The sequence below is a fragment of the Homo sapiens genome, chromosome 7 (genome assembly GCF_000001405.40).
Source record: "Homo sapiens chromosome 7, GRCh38.p14 Primary Assembly".
NCBI classification, from domain to species: domain Eukaryota; kingdom Metazoa; phylum Chordata; class Mammalia; order Primates; family Hominidae; genus Homo; species Homo sapiens.
The window spans coordinates 65,825,734-65,844,609 of record NC_000007.14 but is presented as its reverse complement, the minus strand read 5'-3'; the positions used below and the strand labels follow the sequence as shown (position 1 = coordinate 65,844,609).

General features: G+C 47.5%; 2 long non-coding RNA genes across 4 annotated transcripts, besides 1 other annotated feature; both read right to left on the bottom strand.

The window, feature by feature from the left end:
* Positions 1-2,207: 2,207 nt before the first annotated feature.
* On the bottom strand, positions 2,208-4,906 carry LINC03129 (long intergenic non-protein coding RNA 3129; the record flags this gene model as incomplete). Its single annotated transcript, XR_002956508.2, has 1 exon — positions 2,208-4,906. It is a non-coding gene; the product is annotated as a long intergenic non-protein coding RNA 3129 (long non-coding RNA).
* Positions 5,057-5,568: an enhancer, noted in NCBI's record as "H3K27ac-H3K4me1 hESC enhancer chr7:65304029-65304540 (GRCh37/hg19 assembly coordinates)". NCBI's record gives its function as "activates a minimal SCP1, AML or CMV promoter by ChIP-STARR-seq in naive H9 embryonic stem cells {active_cell/tissue: H9 hESC(naive)}" and the evidence as "EXISTENCE:reporter gene assay evidence [ECO:0000049][PMID:30033119]".
* LOC124901659 (uncharacterized) lies at positions 9,597-17,606 on the bottom strand. 3 transcript variants are annotated; one of them, XR_007060364.1, is made up of 4 exons: positions 17,404-17,606; positions 16,868-17,008; positions 15,929-15,993; positions 9,597-9,719 (listed from the first exon to the last, which is right to left on the bottom strand). It is a non-coding gene; the product is annotated as an uncharacterized LOC124901659 (long non-coding RNA). The 3 variants fall into 3 exon arrangements; XR_007060362.1 differs by having other exon boundaries at positions 9,680-9,719; positions 16,868-17,066; positions 17,404-17,451; XR_007060363.1 differs by having other exon boundaries at positions 9,682-9,716; positions 16,868-17,066; positions 17,404-17,451.
* Between the last annotated feature and the right edge of the window lie 1,270 nt (positions 17,607-18,876).

Sequence of the window (18,876 nt, the reverse complement as noted above, 5' to 3'; positions counted from 1 at the left end):
TATGTTGTTCATGCTGGTCTCATACTCCTGGCCTTGAGCAATCCTTCTACCCTGCCTTCCCAAAGTGCTGGGATTACAGGTGTGAGCTATAGCACCCGGCGTGCTTTGTACTTTTCTATAGGACTTAGATTTTATATAATAATTACAAATAATTTTTACAAAAGCAGTAGTCATTCTAAACTTTTAAAAATTAAGCAGTGATTAAGAAAGAGCTACAGAAAGTAGTATTAATTCAGCACCTATTATATGCTAGATATTTTGCATATAGCGGATCACCTAATCCACATATCAAGGCAAGAATTATAATCTTTATTTTCCAAGAGAGAAAACTGAGGCTTAGAAGCATTTGTTAATTCTAGAGTTACACTGCCGCTGCCAAAATAAGTGCCCCCTCCCAGCAGCCTGCCCACTGCTGGTCTTATCAAATTCAAACCCCACTTCCACCCCCACATCTGTGCACAAGAATGTTCACACACGCGCACACACACACACACACACAAACACACAATTTCTGCAATATTCCATCTGACTAGGTCAGGAACTTGTCATGACAAACCAAATGCAATACCTATTTCCTGACCAAAGCTGTTATTCAATATCTCTATCACTTGAGAAATAGTTTGATTTCATGTTGACAAGGGTCACACTGAGGTCTTAAGAGAAGTAACAATTACAAAGCATCCTAGTCCCTGTGAAAGGGTGTGATGTTCAGATACATCCAGCCCTTTGAGATGCTCTGCTGGAAGGTGGTTGAGGTGCAAAGTACTATTGACTCATGGTCATCTTGGTCCATGGTCATTAATAATGATACTTTGTACTTCTTTCATGTTTGTGCTAAGGGTGGTTTCAAAACCTGGAAGAAGCTTATCAACTTCTAGGCATTCAAATATCTCTTTCACAATATATAGATGTGTGTGTGTATGTGTATGCTATGAAAATATACACATATATACATATATGAATATATATACACACACATACATATATAAATATTTACAGTATACTAATAAAAAAGTAAATTCTTTTTTTTTTTTGAGATGGAGTCTCACTCTGTCACCCAGGGTGGAGTGCAGTGGCTCGATCTCAGCTCAATTCCATCTCTGCCCCCCCAGATTGAAGCGATTCTCCTGCCTCAGCCTCCTGAGTAGCTGGGATTACAGGCACCTAATTTTTCTATTTTTAGTAGAGACAGGGTTTCACCATCTTGGCCAGGCTGGTCTTGAACTCCTGACCTCATAATAGACCCACGTCGTCCTCCCAAATTGCTGGGATTACAAGCATGAGCCACTGTGCCTGGCATAAAGTGAATTCTTAATCATCCTTGAAAAGAAAATGGCAGGCCAGGTGTGGCTCTCACCTGTAATCCCAGCACTCTGGGAGGCTGAGTTGGAAGGATCACTTGAGCCCAGGAGTTTGAAACCAGCCTGGGAAACATGGTGAGACCCCCTCTCTACAACAAATATAAAAATTACCTGGGCATGGCAGCTTATACCTGGGGTCCCAGCTACTCAGGAGGCTGATGTGAGAGGATCACTTAAGCCAAGAAAGCAGAGGTTGTGGTGAGCTGAGATCACACCACTGCAGTCCATCCTAAGTGACAAAGCAGTACCTTGCCTCAAAAAAAAAAAAAAAAAAAGAAAAGAAAAGAAAAAAATTGGTATCCAAGAAAAATTTAAAATCTCTCTCTACATAGAAATGTATATAGTCATAGTGTATTAATCAAAAAGTAAATTCTTAATAGTTCATGACAAGCAAATGGCAAGCCAGGCATGGTGGCTCATGTTTGTAATCTCAGCACTTTGGGAGGCCCAGGCAAAAAGATTGCTTGTGTCTAAAAGTTTGGGACCAGCCTGGGCAACCTAGTGAGAACCAACCTCTCAGAAAAAATCAGAAATTAGCCAGGCATGGTGGCATATGCCTGTAGTCTCAGCTACTCAAGATGCTGAGTTGGGAGGATCACTTGAGGCCAAGAGGCCAAGTCTGCAGTAAGCCATAATCACATGACTACACTCCAGCCTGGGTGACAGAGCAAGACCCTGTCTAAGAAAACTATAAAAGAAAAAGAAAACTATAAAAAATATAAAAAGAAGACATGAAGTGAGAAGCTACCATGTCCAGGGCAAAGACAAAGGGCCCAAGCAAAAGCCCATTCCCCTCCTCACCCCCAGTAGACAAGAAAAACCATGAGACACTAAATAAAACAGAAATCACTGTGAAACCACACAGGCAGAATTTACTATCGATTTGTCAGAAATCCACTCTCAAGGTTAAGAGACAGTTTTTGCTAAGGCACTCTGCTGTAAAGTGAACAAATGAGAGTCCAGGGAAGCTTTAGGCTCCTTGATGCTGTTGACCATCAAAGGCTTAAAGCTGGATCTGGAAGAGGCAACTGTGAGGCAAGAGCAAAACCAGAAGAGGCTACCATGAGGCAAAAGATGGGCCTTGAGTGGCCACTGTGAGGCAGAAGATGGGCCAGACGAGGCCATTGTGAGGCAGGAGCTGGTGTAAGAGAGACCACCATGAGACAGGAGCTGGGTCTTGGGAGGCAGATCTGAGGTAGGAGATGGGCCTAGTGAGGCCACTGTGAAAAAGGAGCTGGGCCTAGAGAGGCCAGTGTGAGGCAGAAGCTGGGCCGGTTGAGGCTGCCAGAAGTCAGATAGGAACATGGCCGGGGAAGGCCACCATGAGGCAAGAGCTGGGCCTGGAAAGCCTGCTGCGAGGCAGGAGAAAAGCCTGGAGAGGCCATTGTCAGGCAGGAGCTGGGCCTGTTTAGGCTGCCACGAGGCTGACAGTAGGCCTGGAGAGCTTGATTTGAGAAAATTTTGAGCCTACAAAGGCCACCAGGAGCTGGGCAGAAGCTGAGTCCAAGGAGGTTGTTGTGAGGCAGGAGTTGGGCCTGTAGACACAGCAGGGAGGAAGAGCTCGGCCTGCAGAGGATGCCAGGAGGCAGCAACTGGGCCTAAAGAGGCCGACTTGAGGAAGTTCTGGGCCTGGAGAGGCCGCCAAAAGGGAAAAACTGGGCCTGGAAAGGCCGTTGTAAGGAATGAGCGGGGCCTAAAGAGGTCATTGAAAGGCAGGAGCTGGGCTTGTCGAAGCTGCCAAAAGGCAGGAGTTTTGGACTGGGGAGGCTACAGTGAGGCAAGAGCTGGGTGTGGAGAGTCCGCTGTGAGGTAGAGGCTGGGCCTGTACAGACCTTAAGAAGGCAGGAGCTGGGCCTGGAGAGGCTGACTTGAGTTCAAGTTCTGGGCCTGAAGAGGCCACCAAGTCAAAAGCAGGGCCTGAGAAGGCCACCAAGAGGCATGAGCTGGGCCTGGACAGGCTGATGGGAGGAAGTTTTGCACCTGGAGAGGCCACCAAAAGGCAGGAGCTGGGCCTGGAAAAACCAACTGGAGGACGATTTGGGTCTTCAGAGGCCACCAGGAGGCAGGAGCTGGGAAAGAAGAGGCCAATTTGAGGATGATTTGGGCCTGCAGAGGTTGCTGGGAGGAAGAGCTGGGCCTGGAGAGGCTGACTGGGGGAAGTTCTGGGCCTGGAGTGGCCAAAAAGCGAAAGCTAGGCCTGGAAAGGCCACAGTGAGGCATGAGCGTGGCCTACAAAGGCCATTGGGAGGCAGCAGCTAGGCCTGTAGAGGCTGCCGAAAGGCAGGAACCTGGTCAGAGGAGGCCATGGTGAGGCAAGAGGTGGGACTGGAAGGTGCACTGTGAGGTAGAGGCCAACAACAGGCAAAAGCTGGGCCTGGAGAGATGACAAGAGGAATGAGCTGGGCCTAAACAGGCCAGTATGAGAAAGGACCTCGGCCTAGAGAGGCCAGTGTGAGGCAGGAGCTGGGCCTGGACAGGTTGCCAGAGGCATCAACTGGACCTAAACAAGCCATTGTGAGGGAGGAGCTAGGCCTGTTGAGGCTGCTGGGAGGCAGGCGGGAACTTGGCCCACGGAAGCCACTGTGAGGCAAGAGATGGGCCTGGAGAGGGAGCTAAGAGGCAAGAGCAGGGCCTGCAGAGGCTGTTCTCAAGCCAGAGCTGGGTCTGTACAGGCCACTGCAAGGCAGAAGGTGGGCCTAAAGAGCTTGACTTGAGGAAGTTTTGGGCCTACAAAGGCCGGCAGTAGTTGGGCAGGAGCTGAGCCATAAAAGGTTGTTGTGAGGCAGGAGTTGGTCTTGTAGATACAGCCAGGAGGAAGAGCTAGGCCTGGAGAGAATGCCGGGAGGCAGCAACTGGGCCTGGAGAGGCCGACTTGAGGAAGTTTTGGGCCTGGAGATGATGTCCCGGGACAGGAGCTGGGCCTGGAGAGGCCACTGTGAGGCATGAGCTGGGCGTAGAGAGGCCAGTGTGTGGCAGGACCTGGGCCTGTCCAGGCTGCCAGGAAATAGGTGGAAACTTGGCCAGGGAAGGTTGCCATGAGACAAAAGTTGGGCCTGGAAAAATCATCGTGAGGTATGAGCTTGGCCTAAAGAGCCATTGGGTGGCAGGAGCTGGGTGTGTAGAGGCTGCTGAAAGGCAGGCGCTTGGCTTGTGGGGGGCCACGGTGAGGCAGATGCTGGGCCTGGAGAATCTGCTGTGAGGCAGATATTGGGCCCGTAGAGGCTGACAGAAGGCAGGAGCTGGGCCTGGAGAGGCTGCCAGGACACAAAAGCTGGGCCTGAAGAGGCTGCCAAGAGGCATGAGCTGGGCCTAAAGAGACCAGTGTGACAAGAGATCGGCCTGGAGAGGCCGACTTGAGGAAGATTTTGGCCTAGAGAGTCTGTCAGGGGCAGGAACTGGGCCTGGAGAGGCCACCGTGAGGCATGAACTGGGCCTAATGATGCCAGTGTGAGGCAGGAGCTGGGCCTGTCAAGGCTGCTGGGAGGTAGGCAGGAACTTGGCCAGGGATGACCTCCGTGAAGCAAGAGCTGGGCCTGGAAAGGCCATTGTCATGCAGGAGCTGGGCCTATCCAGGCTACCAAGAGGCAGAAGATTGTGCTGGTGAGCTTGACGTGAGGAAGTTTTGGGCCTACAAAGGCCTCCAGGAGCTGGGCAGGAGCTGAGCCAAAAGAGATTGTTGTGAGGCAGGAGGTGGGCCTGGAGATTCAGCTAGGAGGAAGAACTGGGCCTGGAGAGGCTCACTTGTGGAAGTTCTGTGACTAAAGAGGTTGCAAAAAGGCAAAAGCTGGGCCGGAATGGCCACCATGAGGCAGGAGCTTGGCCTAGAGAGGCCACTGGGAGGCAGGAGCTAGGCCTGTAGAGGCTGCCGAAAGGCAGGAGCTTTGCCTGGGAGGCTGTGGTGAGGCAGATACTGGGCCTGGAAAGTCTGCTGTGAGGCAGAGGTTGGGCCTGTAGAGGCCAATGGGAGGCAGGAGTTTGGGCTGAAATGGCAGACTTGAGAAAGTTCTCAGTCTGGAGAAGCCACCGGGATGCGGGAGCTGGGCCTGGAGAGGCCACTGAGAGGCATGAGCTGTGCCTAAAGAGGCCAGTGTTAGGCAGGAGCTGTGCCTGAAGAGGCGACTTGAGGAAGTTTTGGGCCTGGACAGCCCGTCGGAGGCAGGAGCTGGGCCTGGAGAGGCTGCCGTGAGGCATGAGCTGGGCGTAATGAGGTTAGTGTGAGGCAGGACCTGGGCCTGTCGAGGCTGCCGGGAGGCAGGTAGAAACTTGTTCAGGGAAGACCTCCGTGAGGCAAAAGCTGGGCCTGGAGAGTCAGCTGGGAGGCAAGAGCTGGGCCTGGAGATGCTGTTGTCACACAGGAGCTGGGCCTGTCCAGGCCATTGGGAGGCAGAAGGTGGGTCTGGAGAGCTTGACTTGAGGCAGTTTTGGGCCTACAAAGGCCACCAGGAGCTGGGCAGGAGCTGAACCAAAAGAGGTTGTTGTGAGGCAGGAGCTGGGCCTCCAGGCACAGCCAGGAGAAACCTCAGCCTTTAGAGGCCACCTGGAGGCAGCAGCTGGGTCTGGAGAGGCCAACGGAAGAAGGCAGGAGCTTGGCCTTGAGAGGCTGACTTATGGACATTTTGGGCCTGTATAGGCTGCCCAGAGGCAGGAGCTCGGACTAAAGAGACTGTTGTATGGCAGGAGCTGGGCCTGTACAGGCCACTGGGAGGCAAAAGGTGGGCCTCAAGAGTCCACTGTAAAACAGGAGCTGAGTCTTGGAAGGTGGCTGTGAGGCAAAAGATGGCCCTTGGGAGGCTGATGAGAGGCAGTAGCTGGGCCTGGTGAGGTTGACTTGAGAACCTTCTCTCTGGGCCTGGAGAGAAGGCTGGGAGGCAGGAGTTGGGCCTAAAGAGGCCATTGTAATGATGGAGCTGGGCCTGTGGGGGCTGCCATGAGGCAGCAGCCTCATCTGTGGAGACTGCCATGAGGTAGGGTATGGGCCTAAATAGGCCATTGTGAGCCACAAGCTTGGCCCGTAGAGGCCGACTGGAGAAAGTTCTGGACCTGGAGAGGCTGCCGGGAGGCAGGAGCTGAGCCAAAAGATTCAAGCGCATTACATTTATTAGGCACTTTATTTCCATTATTACATTGTAGTATATAATGAAATAATTATAGAACTCACCATAATGTAGAATCAGTGGACATGTTAAGCTTATTTTCCTGCAACAAGATGGTCCCATCTGAATTGATGGAAGAAAGTGACAGATAATCAGGTATTAGATTCTCATAGGGACAGCACAACCCAGATCTCTCGCATGCACGGTTTGCATAGGATGCATGCTCCTATGAGAATCTAATGCTGCTGCTGATCTGAGAGAAGGCGGAGCTCAGGCGGGAATGTGAGCAATGGGGAGTGGCTGTAAATACAGATGCAGCTTCCCTCACTCAACACCACTCACCTCCTGCTGTGTGGCTCCTTACAGCTCCATGGCTCAGGGGTTGGGGACCCCTGCTGAAGTGCATCCAAAAGGACCATTCCCACACCAGTCTTCATAGCGGTCAAGTGCAGCAACCACTTAGCTCCCAAGGCATGTGCCTCAGCTGGCATTTCATCACAATCAACAGTAAGCAGTAGCTTGAGTCATTGTGAGGTCACTTCCTGGAAATCACCAGCATTCCGTTTCCCATTGGCAAGGAGCTCAGCACTGCCCCTTGGATAACCAAACCTATCCCCAAATCCCATCTGTGTGAGTCTATCTCCAGGGACCCTTCTTAGCATATTAGAGTCCAACCAGGAGACATAAACCACTCAAAAGTTTAAAGTGGTAAATTTAATACAGAGAATTATTCATTGTAACAGGGGAACAGCATAATGAGAGACTGGCTAGCACAAAGTAAAGAGAACTCCAGAGAATATAGGACTAGCCCAGGCCAGGCATGGTGGCTCATGCCTGAAATTCCAGCAATTTAAGAAGCCAACACAGGAGGACTGATTGAGGCCGGGAGCTAGAGATTGGCCTGGACAACACAGTGAGACCCTGTCTCTATCCAAAAAAAGAAAAAAATTAGCTGGGAGTGGTGGTGCACACTTGTAGTCCCAGCTACTCAGGAAGCTGAAGTAAGAGAATAGTTTGAGCCTGGGAGGTCAAGGCTACAGTGAGTCATGATTATGCCACTACAGTCAAGCCTGGGTGACACAGCAAGACCCCGTCTCAAACAAAACAACAAAACGACAACAACAACAACCATTTACAGACAGAAAAGAAATAGAGCTAATAAGCTAAGGGAAGATGCTGAAATGTGACCAAGTAATATGCGGTATTTTATCTATTTAAAATAATCAAACAAAAAATAACTTATTAAATTATAATACCCTGTGCAGGCAAAGGTGCAGTGAAATGGACACTTTCTTATACTAGGAGGGGTGTTTAAATTGTACATAGTCTTCCAAGGTAAAGGTTGGCAATTTTTTAAAATAATAGAGACAGGGTCTCACCTTACTGCCTCCTCCAACTCTTGGCCTCAAGCAATCCTCCTGTCTTAGCCTCCAAAGGGCTGGGATTATAGCCAGGAGGCACCCAAAACCTTGTCAATGTACATCAAGGGCAATGAGAATGCCCATTCACCATGACTCACAGTAATCTTACTTCTGGAAATACCTTGGGGAGACAATTCAATCTAAACAAAAGGTCATCTGCATAAACACAGTGAAATTCTGGGAGTAATTGAAAACAGAGTGGTTAAGTTAAGTAAGAAACAGTTATAAGAAATTATACTATGGTATTTATAGGCACCTGGTAAAAGGTCAGTTAATGTTAGCTGCTACTTTTTTGTTGCTTTGAGACAGGGTCTCACTCTGTCACCCAGGCTGGAGTGCAGAGGCCTGATCACGACTCACTGCAGTCTCAACCTCCTTGGACTCAAGTGATCTTCCCACAGCAGCCTCCCAAGTAGCTGGGACTACAGGAACATGTCACCACACTAGGATAATTCATGTACTTTTCTGTAGGGATGGTGTCTCCTTTGGTTTCCGAGGCCTGTCTCAAACTCTTGGCCTCAAGCCATCCTCCTACCTCAGCCTCCGAAAGTGTTGTGATTACTGGTGTGAGCCACCACACCTGGCCAGCTGCTACTTTTATTATTATTCCTCTCAATTAAAAATAATTTTCATTAAAAATTATCATTTTCAAGGCTATGGAACAATATGTGTCATACAGCATAATTGTAAAAACATATACAGTCATCCCTCGGTATACAGAGAGGATTAGTTCCAGCCCCCCATCTCTGCATATACCAAAATCCATGCATACTCACATTTCACAGTCAGCCCTCTGGAACCCACATATAGGAAAAGTCCAAATATTAGTTGGGCACAGTACCAAGCACCTATAGTCTCAGCCACTTAGGAGGCTGAGGTGGGAGGATCACTTGAACCTGGGAGGTTGAGGCTGCAGTCAGCTGTGATGGCACCACTACACTCCAGCCTGGACAACAGAGCAAGACCCTGTGTCAGAAAAAAACAAAACAAAAAAACAAAAAATGGGTTAGAAATTGTAGTGAGGTCTGTTGGGCAAAATTCCATATAAGCAAAGTATAAATTAATGAAGCAAATGGTGATGAATTAGTATGATTGACTTTCTGGAGTTTCTGACAATAAAGGTAAGAAAAATGCAAAACACAGAGACAGAGGGTAAAAAAAGAAATTAGTGAAGCATTCTACGAGTTTAATAAAATGACACTGGCCATGTTCGTGCAGCAGCAGTATGTCATGATATGACATACCTTGGAGAGAAGTTAACAGATGAGGAAGTTGATAAAAATGATCAGAGAAGCCAACTACCGATAGCGACAGTCAAGTAAACCACGAAGAATTTACACAACTGATGTCAGCAACGTGGAAATATTGTATAGTGTGTGTTGAAGTTCCTGTACATTGTTTATTTGCTTTCTGTTTGAAAGAAATCTATCTACTAAGTTATTATTGCTATCAAAAGAATATGTGTGAATAAGTCATTTGAACTTATTCTTCTGTTTTTCTACTTTTATCTTCCTGCCATCATCTCATAGCCTTACTTTAGAATTTTTTTATTTTTTTAGAAAATTGAACAAGTGCTCCTTGTGGTGGCTCATACCTCTAGGATGGAAGGCAGGGGTAGAAGGGTCACTTGAGGCCAGGAGTTTGACACCAGCCTGGCCAACAAAGTGAGACCCCATGTCTACAAAATAATTTAAAAATTAGCCAGATGTCATCATGTATACCTACGGTCCCAGCTACTCAGGAAGCTGAGGCAGGAGGATCCTTAGCCCAGGAGTTCAAGGCTGCAGTGAGCTGTGATTGCACCACTGTACTCCAGCCTGGGTGACAGGGTGAGATCCCATCTACTAAAACAAAAAAGAAAGAAAGAAAATAGACCAAGTGCAAGTTGTATGTGGCTTATTCTGAATATTTCTAAACTAGAAGTTCTCAATCTTTCGGGGTCTAGCATCCCTTTACATTTTTTAACTTTATTGAAGATCTCTAAGACTTTTTCTTTATATAAATAATTATATTAAAATTAGAAAATAAGACAAAATTTTAAAAATATTCATTACATAATAATAAAACTATTACATGTTGATATAAGTAATACAAGACAAAATTTTTAAAATATTTGGCCAGGCGCAGTGGCTCATGCCTGTAATCCTAGCACTTTGGGAGGCCGAGGTGGGCGGGTCACAAGGTCAAGAGATCAAGACCATCCTGGCCAACATGGTGAAACCCCGCCTCTATTAAAAATACAAATATTAGGTGGGCGTGGTGGCACACGCCTGTAATCCAGCTACTCGGGAGGCTGAGGCAGGAGAATCGTTTCAACCCAGGAGGCGGAGGTTGCAGTGAGCTGAGATCGCACCACTGCATACCAGCCTGGTGACAGAGTGAGACTCTGTCTTGAAAAAAAAAAATTTTATTATTCATTAAATATTAATAATAAAACAATTACATGTTGATATAATACTTTTTTTTTTTGAGACGGAGTCTCGTTCTTTCATCCAGGCTGGAGTGAAGTGGCGTGATCGCGGCTCACCATAACCTCTGCCCCCCAGGTTCAAGTGATTCTCCTGCTTCAGCTTCCCGAGTAGCTGGGATTACAGACGCCTGCCACCATGCCTGGCTAATTTTTGTATTTTTTTAGTAGAGACAGAGTTTTGCCATGTTGGCCAGGCTAGTCTTGAACTCCTGACCTCAGGTGATCCACCCGCCTGGCTCTCCCAAAGTGCCGGGATTACAGGCATGAGCCACTGTGCCCACCCTGATTAATATATTTTTTAAAACACTGATTAGTCAGGCAACAACACTGGGCAAGGGTCTCCTCATTCCCAGTGACACAAACCCCACTGCACGGCTCTGGGGTTGCAAGGGCTGCAGAGACAAAAGTCTCTGACTTGAGATTTTATTATTTTATTTGTATTTCTATTTGTGTTGTGAGACAGGTCCTGCTCTGTCACCCAGATTGGAATGTGGCTATGCACTTGTAGCTCACTGCAGGGTCGACCTCCTGGGCTCAAGCCATTTTCCTGCCTCAGCTCCCCAGTAGCTGGTACTAGCGTTGAGTGCCACCATACCTGGCTATTTTTTAAATTTTTTGTAGAGTGAGGGGTCTTGCTACGTTGCCCAAGCTGGCCTCAAACTCCTGACACCTCAAGAGATCTGCCCACCTCAGCCTCCTGAGTAGCTGTGACTACAAGTACATATCACCATGCGTAGCTACATTTATTTTATTTTATTAAATATTGAAAAATATTTTTGGCCGGGTGTGGTGGCTCATGCCTGTAATCCCAGCACTTTGGGAGGCCGAGGTGGGCAGATCACCTGAGGTTGGGAATTCGAGACCAGCCTGACCAACATGGAGAAACCCCGTCTCTACTAAAAATACCAAATTAGCCAGGCGTGGTGGTGCATGCCCGTAATCCCAGCTACTCAGGAAGGCTGAGGTGGCAGGAGAATCACTTGAACCCAGGAGAATCGCTTGAACCCAGGAGGTGGAGGTTGCGGTGAGCCGAGATTGAGCCATTGCACTCCCGCCTGGGCAACAAGAGCAAAACTCCATCTCAAAAAGAAAAAAAAAGAAAAATATTTTTGTAGAGAGGAGGTCTTGCTATGTTGCCCAGGCTGGTCTTGAATTCCTGTCCTTAAAAGATACTCCCATTTCTGCTTTCCAAACAGCTGGGACTACAGGCATGAGCCACTGTACTGAGCCTGAAGAGATTTCTTTAATCTAGCATCCCATACTTGACAGGATTGAGAAAGGCAGTAGTCGTTTTTAAAATTACTTCATAATTCAGTAAGAATCTAACTCAACCTTGACCCCTGCCTTCTCTTACACCCCACATCCAGTCTGTCAGGAAATCCTGTTGACTGTCTTCAACACATACTGAAGATCCCCACCCACCGACTCCCTGGCCTCCTCTCCTACTTCTCTCCTCTGACCATCTCTCAACACCACCATGACCCTGGTCAAGACTACTATCATCTTCCGCCTGGATGTTGCCACAGCTTGGCCCCCATGCTTCTACCCAAATCTTCCCACAGTCTTTCTCAACTCAGCAGCCAGAGAATGCTTTTAAATCGGCAGACAGATCATGTCGCCTCTCTGCTCAGAACCCTCTTCAATTTCCTATCTGGCCCAGCAATAACCTCCCAGGGCTTACACAGTCTGTACTGATCCCTGCCCAGCAACTCCCTGGCCTCCTGCCCTAATTCTCTCCCTCTTTCCTTCTGCTCCACTGGCCTCCTTCCAGAGCCTCAGACACACCTCAGACAGTTTATTCAGTTGTTTCTGCCCACAATCCTCTTCCCTCAGCACCTTGGCCAGCTCCTTGCCCTCCTTCAAGTCTTGGCTTAATTTTCACTTAGGAGGCCACTCCTGATCATACTATTTAACATTGCCATCTGTCCCCATGCCCACCATGCTAATTTCTTCCCTCCTTCTTTCTTTTCTTCCCTCCCCTCCCCTCCCCTGTCCTCCCTCCCTCCCCCCACCTCCCTTCATTTTTTTGACAAGATCTCACTCTTGTTACCAAGGTTGGAGTGCAGTGGCACAATCACAGCTCACTGCAACCTCAAATTCCCAGGCTCAAGCGATCCTCCCACCTCAGCCTCCCTAGTAGCAGGGACTACAGGTGCATACCATCATGCCTGGCTAATTTTTTTAGTATTTTATTTTATTTTATTTTGAGATGGAGTTGCACTCTTCTTGCCCAGGCTGAAGTGCAATAGTGTGATCCTGGCTCACTGCAACTTCTACCTCCAAGATTCAAGTAATTCTCCTGCCTCAACCTCCCAAGTAGCTGGGATCACAGGCATGTGCCACCATGCCCGGCTAGTTTTTGTATTTTTAGTAGAAATGGGGTTTTGCAATGTTGGCCAGGCTGGTCTTGAACGCCTGACCTCAGGTGATCCACCCACCTCGGCCTTCCAAAGTGCTGGGATTACAGGCATAAGCCACCGCGCCTGGCCAATTTTTTTTTTTTTTTTTTTTTTAGTAGACACAAGGTCTCACTGTGTTGCATAGGCTGGTCTTGAATTCCTGGCCTCAAGTGATCCTCCTGCCTAAAATTCCTACGGATTGCTGGCATAAGCCACCATGCCTGGCTTCATGTTCCTTTCTTCTTGCTGCTGCAACATAGTTTGCAATTTCCTAAATTTAGTGGCTTAAAACACTACAAATCTACCATCTTACAGTTCTGGGGGCCAGAAGCCCAAACTAGATTTATTAAGGCTAAAGTCAAGGTGTCAGCAGGGCTGCATTCCTTTTGAAGGCTCTAAAGTGTTTCCTTGGCTTTTCCAGCTTCTAGAAGCCACCCCCATTCCTTGGATCATGGCCCCTGACTCCATCTTCAAAGCCAGAAGTGAAGCATCTTCAAATCTCCCTCTCTGACCTCTGCTTCCATCACCACATCTCCTGCTCCAATTCTGACTCTCCTACCCTCTTTCTTTTATAAAGACTCTTGTGATTGCTGGGCATGGTGGCTGCCACACATAATCGCAACAATTTGGGAGACCAAGGCAGAAGGAACATCTGAGACCCAAAGTTTGAAACTAGCCTGAACAACATAGAGAGACCCCACCTCTAGAAAAAAATGAAAATAAATGTGAGCTGGATGTGGTGTGTGCCTGTAGTCCCAGCTACTTGAGAGGCTGAGGTAAGACGATCACTTTAGCCCAGGAGTTTGAGATCAGCCTGGGCGACATAACTAAATTTCATCTCTACAAAGATGAGCTGGGCATGGGTGACATGCACGTGTAGTCCCAGCTACTTGGGAGGCTGAGGTAGGAGGATTGCTTGAGCTCAGGAGGTCAAAGCTATAGTGAGCTATGATCACATCGCTGCACTCCAGCCTGGATGACACAGGGAGATTCCGCCTCAAAAAAAGAAAACAAAAGAAATATATATCTGGTCTCTGTCCCTGGTTCCTGGTAGAGGGCTTCTAAAGCCCTTATAAAGACCTCAGTGTTAGAGGTGATAGGAGCATCTTTTGTTTTAATATTTGGTCTTGGTCCCAGGTTTCTGACACAAGAGCCTTTAAGAACTTTGGGATCTCCAGCATGACAAGAATGCATTTGGTGATGTTGTTGAGATGACTGGGTGACTGCAAGCTCCTAGATTTTTTCAGGAGGAGGACTGATTGCCGGAAAAAGCAACCACATGATTAGAGGCTTGGAACTTTCAGCCTCATGCACTGAACTCCAGGAGGAAGAGGGGCTGGAGATTGACTTAATCACCAACTGCCAAAGATTTTATCAATCGTGCTTGCATGATAAAGCCTCCATAAACACCCTGAACAACAGGGTTTGCAGAGCTTCTGGGGTTGTTGAACGCAGGAGATTCTGGGAGGGTAGCATGTTCAACAGAGGGCATGGGAGCTCTGTGCTCCCAAAGTTACCCTGCCCTGGGCATCTTTCTTTTCTTTTTTTTGAGACAGGGTCTGGCTCTTTTGTCCAGGCTAGAGTACAGTGGCACAATCTCAGCTTACTACAACCTAAGCCTCCCCAGTCCCCAGCTCAAGGCATCCTCTCACCTCAGCTTCCCTAGTAGCTAGAACTATAGGTACACAACACCACACCCGGCTTTTTTTTTTTTTTTGTAGAGACAGGTTTTCACCATGTTGCCCAGGCTGGTCTCAAACTCCTGAATTTAAGCAATCCTCCCACCTCAGCCTCCCAAAGTGCTGGGATTACAGGCGTGAGTCACAACATCCAGCATGTACATCTCTTTCATTGGCTGTTTCTGAGATGTATCCTTTACAATGAACCTGTAATAGGAAATGAACTGGCCAGATGTGGTGGCTCACATCTGTAATCCCAGCACTTTAAGAGGCTGAGGTGGGAGGATCGCTTGAGCCCAGGAATTTGTGGCCAGACTGGGCAACACAACAAGACCCCATCTCTACAAAAAATAAAAGAAATTAGCCAGATGTAGTGGTGCAGGTGTGTAGTCTCAGCTACTAGGGAGGCTGAGGTGGGAGGACCACTTGAACCCAGGCAGTCCAGGCTGCAGTGAGCTATGACTGCACCACTGCACACCAGCCTGGACAACAAAATGAGACCCTGTCTCTAAGAAAAAAATAAAATAAACTGTTTTTTTGAGTTCTGTAAACTGTTCTAGCAAATTATTAAACCCAAGAAGAGGGTCATGGGAACCCCGATTTGTAACAGGTTGGTCAAAAGTACAGGTAACAACCTAGGACTTGCATTGGCATCTGAAATGAGGGTGGTCTCGTGGTACTGAGACCCTAACCTGTGGGGTCTGTGTCAACTCCAGGTAGTGTCAGAATAAAATTGTGGGATACCCAGTTAATATCCAGAGCATTGGAGAACTTGGTGTAGAAACTCCACACACACATTCAGTCAGAAGTGTGTGAGTAGAGACTAACATGGGCTTTTCTTTCACCTGTCTACCTGCTTCACTGCATAGGAGAGGCAATACGTGGTGCTCATGAACAAAGCAAACATTAAAGTCAGACCAGACCCGACATTTGACTCAGTCTTAATATCCAGGTGAGCTTGGGCAAATCACTCATTATTCCTAAGTCTTCATCACTTCATTCACAAAATGGGGATAACTGTGGCACCTACCTGTGATTTTGTGAGAACTAATGAAATACTATGATTGGTGTTATTGTGATCATTATACCTATTCTAAACTATTTGACCAGGACAGGGATGCATGATAACATTAACAGATTAGAAACTGTAATGAGGTCTCTTGGGCAAAATTCCATACAAGCAAATTACTGTCTCTCCAAAGCATTCCTGCCACACTTAATTCACCATTCCCTGAATAAAATGTGCCATCTTCATTGTCCAGGTCTTTACAGTGCTGGTTTACCTGCCTGGGCAGCTCACTCCATCCCATCCCAGCCCATTCCCCATCCCTCCACCTCCCCCTTCCCTCCCCACTCTCATACAACTCTTCCTCATCTTTCAGGACCCAGCTTCAGTGTTACCTTAACTGGAAGCTTCTCTCACCCTTCAGAAGAGCTTCCCATTGCACTTGAGGCATGCACTATTATTTGATCATTTTTGAGTTATAGTCCAAGTCTTTTTGTACCTGAATAAGATGTTGCCCAGTCAGTCTCTCTTCCTGGATTCTGAAGTCTTTCATGGTAGATTCAGCTGGAAGTGACAAAAAGACATTCTTTTGAAAAAGAGGGATGACACAGACAGACATAAGTTCTTAAACGGTTTAAATGGTATGTGAAAATTTAACAAAATTCAAAGGCTTGTGGGGAACACTTAGGAGGAAAAGTTACTGGGAATGTTATAAAGGGTTAATTTATATGTTATCGTACTTTATTTTATTTTATTTTTTGAGACAGAGTCTCATTCTGTTACCTAGGCTGGAGAGCAGTGGTGTAATCAGGGCTCACTGCAGCCTCAACCACCTGGGCTCAGGTAATCTCACTTAATCTTTATTTGGTTTAAGAAACTCAGTCTTGGTTGAGCATAGTGGCTTATGCCTACAATCTCAGCACTTTGGGAGGCTGAGAGGGATATATTACTTGAGGCAAGCAGTTTGAGATCAGCCTGGGCAACATATTAAGACCCTGTCTCTACCAAAAAAACAGAGTGAATTTGTGGAAGACAATTTTTCCACAGACTCGGGGTGAAGGAAATGATTTTGGGATGATTCAAGTGCATTACATATATTGTGCACTTTATTTCTATTATTATTACATTGTAATATATAATGAAATAATTATACAACTCACTATAATGTAGAATCAGTGGGATCTCTGAGCTTGTTTTCCTGCATCAAGACTGTTCAACTGGGGTGACGGGAGACAGTGACAGATCATCAGCCATTAGATTCTCACAAGGAGCGTGCAACCTAGATCCCTCACATGCACAGTTCACAACAGGGTTCGTGCTCCTATGAGAATCTAATGCTGCTGCTGATCTGACAGGACATGGCGCTCAGGTGGTCATGGGAGCGATGGGAGGGGCTATAAATATAGATGAAGTTTCCCCTCACTCGCCCGCTGCTCACCTCCGGCTCTATGGACCTGTGGTTGGAGACCCCTGCTTGAGTGCATTCAAAAGGATCCATCCCATGCCATTCTTCAGAGTCATCTTTACTGCCGCCGTGGTCAAGTGTAGCACCCCTAAGCTTGCAGGGCATATGCTTCAGCTAGCATTTCATCACAATCAACAATAAGTGGTAGCTTGAGTCATTGTGAGGTCAGTTCCTGGAAATCACCAGCATCCCGTGTCCCATTGGCAAGGAGCTCAGCTCTGCTCCTTGGATAACCAAACCTGTGCCCAAATCCCATCTGTGTGGGTCTATCTCCTGGTACCCTTCCTAGCATCAATTCTGTATTTGTAGGAGTCCAATCAGGAGATATAAACCATTCAAAAGTTTAAACTAGAATGGGCAAGGTGGCTCAAACCTGTAATTCTAGCACTTTGGGAGGCCAAGGCGGGTGGATCGCTTTGAGCTCAGGAGTTTGAGACCAGCCTGGGAATTAGGGTGAAACCCCATCTCTACAAAAAACACAAAAATTAGCCGGGTGTGGTGGTACATACCTGTAATCCCAGCTACTCGGGAGTCTGAGGCAGAATTGCTTGAGCCTGGTAAGTGAAGGTTGAAGTGAGCAGAGATTGTGCCACTGCACTCCAGCCTGGGTGACAGAGTGAAAGCCAGTATCAAAAAATAAAAGTAAGAATATATATATGTAATTTTAATATAAAAAGTATTAAATTTTGGCTGGGCGTGGTGACTCACGCCTGTAATCCCAGGACTTTGGGAGGCTGAAGCAGGCAGATCACCTGAGGTCGGGAGTTTGAGACCAGCTTGACCAACATGGAGAAACACCGCCTCTATTAAAAATACAAAATTAGCTGGGCGTGGTGGCACATGCCTGTGATTTCAGCTACTTGGGAGGCTGAGGCAGAAGAATCGCTTGAAACTGAGAGGCGGAGGTTGCAGTGAGCCGAGATCACACCATTGCCCTCCAGCTTGGGCAACAAGAGTGAAACTCCATCTGAAAAAAAAAAAGTATTAATTTTAATAGAGGATCAGCATAATGAGGGACAAAACAGCACAAAGTAAAGACGACTCGAGAGAATACAGAACTAGCAGAGGCCAGGCATGGTGGCTCAAGCCTGTAATCTCAGCAATTTGGGAAGACTAGGCAGGAGGATCGCTCAAGGCCTGGAGTTGGAGACCAGCCTGTACAACATAGTGAGACCCTGTGTCTACCAAAAAAAGAAAGAAGTTAGCCAGGTGTGGTGGCGGTGCACACCTGTTGTTCCAGCTACTTGGAGTCTGGGGTGGGAGGACCCATTGAGCCTGGGAAGTCTAGGCTACAATGAGCCAAGATCATGCCATTGCACTCCTGGGAGATAGTGAGACCCTGTCTTAGAAAGAAAAAGAAAAGAAAAGAAAGTGCTGATCCCCCTACTTCTCCCGCCCTCTCTGGAACCTCACTTGTCAGTTCTTCCTCCCACTTCCCTGTATCATTACCTATCCCCCCCTTTTAGCTCCTTCACCATCATTTAAACTAATCAAACTTCTTATATTTAAAAAAAAAACCTCTCCCTAAACTCAGTGTTTCCCCTGCTTTAGGTCTCCAGCACACCCACTGAGCCATCTGCTTTCCCTGGTGCCTTCTCCACACAGCAGCCTGGGCCACGTCTCTAATCCATGAATCTCATCACATTACTCCTCCCCCATTTACATCACTTCTCCTTGCCTTGGGTATTAAGTCCAAACCCCTGCTCTACCCTGCCTTGCAAGGCAGCCTCACTGCTTGCCCCTCTCCATTTTACCTGCTGTAGAGTCCAACTGAGCCTCATCTGCACCTTGAATGCCCACTCTCTCTCCTCTGGGAGCCTCTGAAGTGGGTGATGCCCTCTGCTTAGAATATGCTTCCCCTTAAATCTCTACTCTCTTCCTGGCTAGCTTTGGCTCCTCTGTCACTTGTCTGCTTTGGCATCATCTCCTCCTGGAAGCCTTCCTTGACTCCCCAGATTCTCAGGAGCATGGGAGGTGAGGTG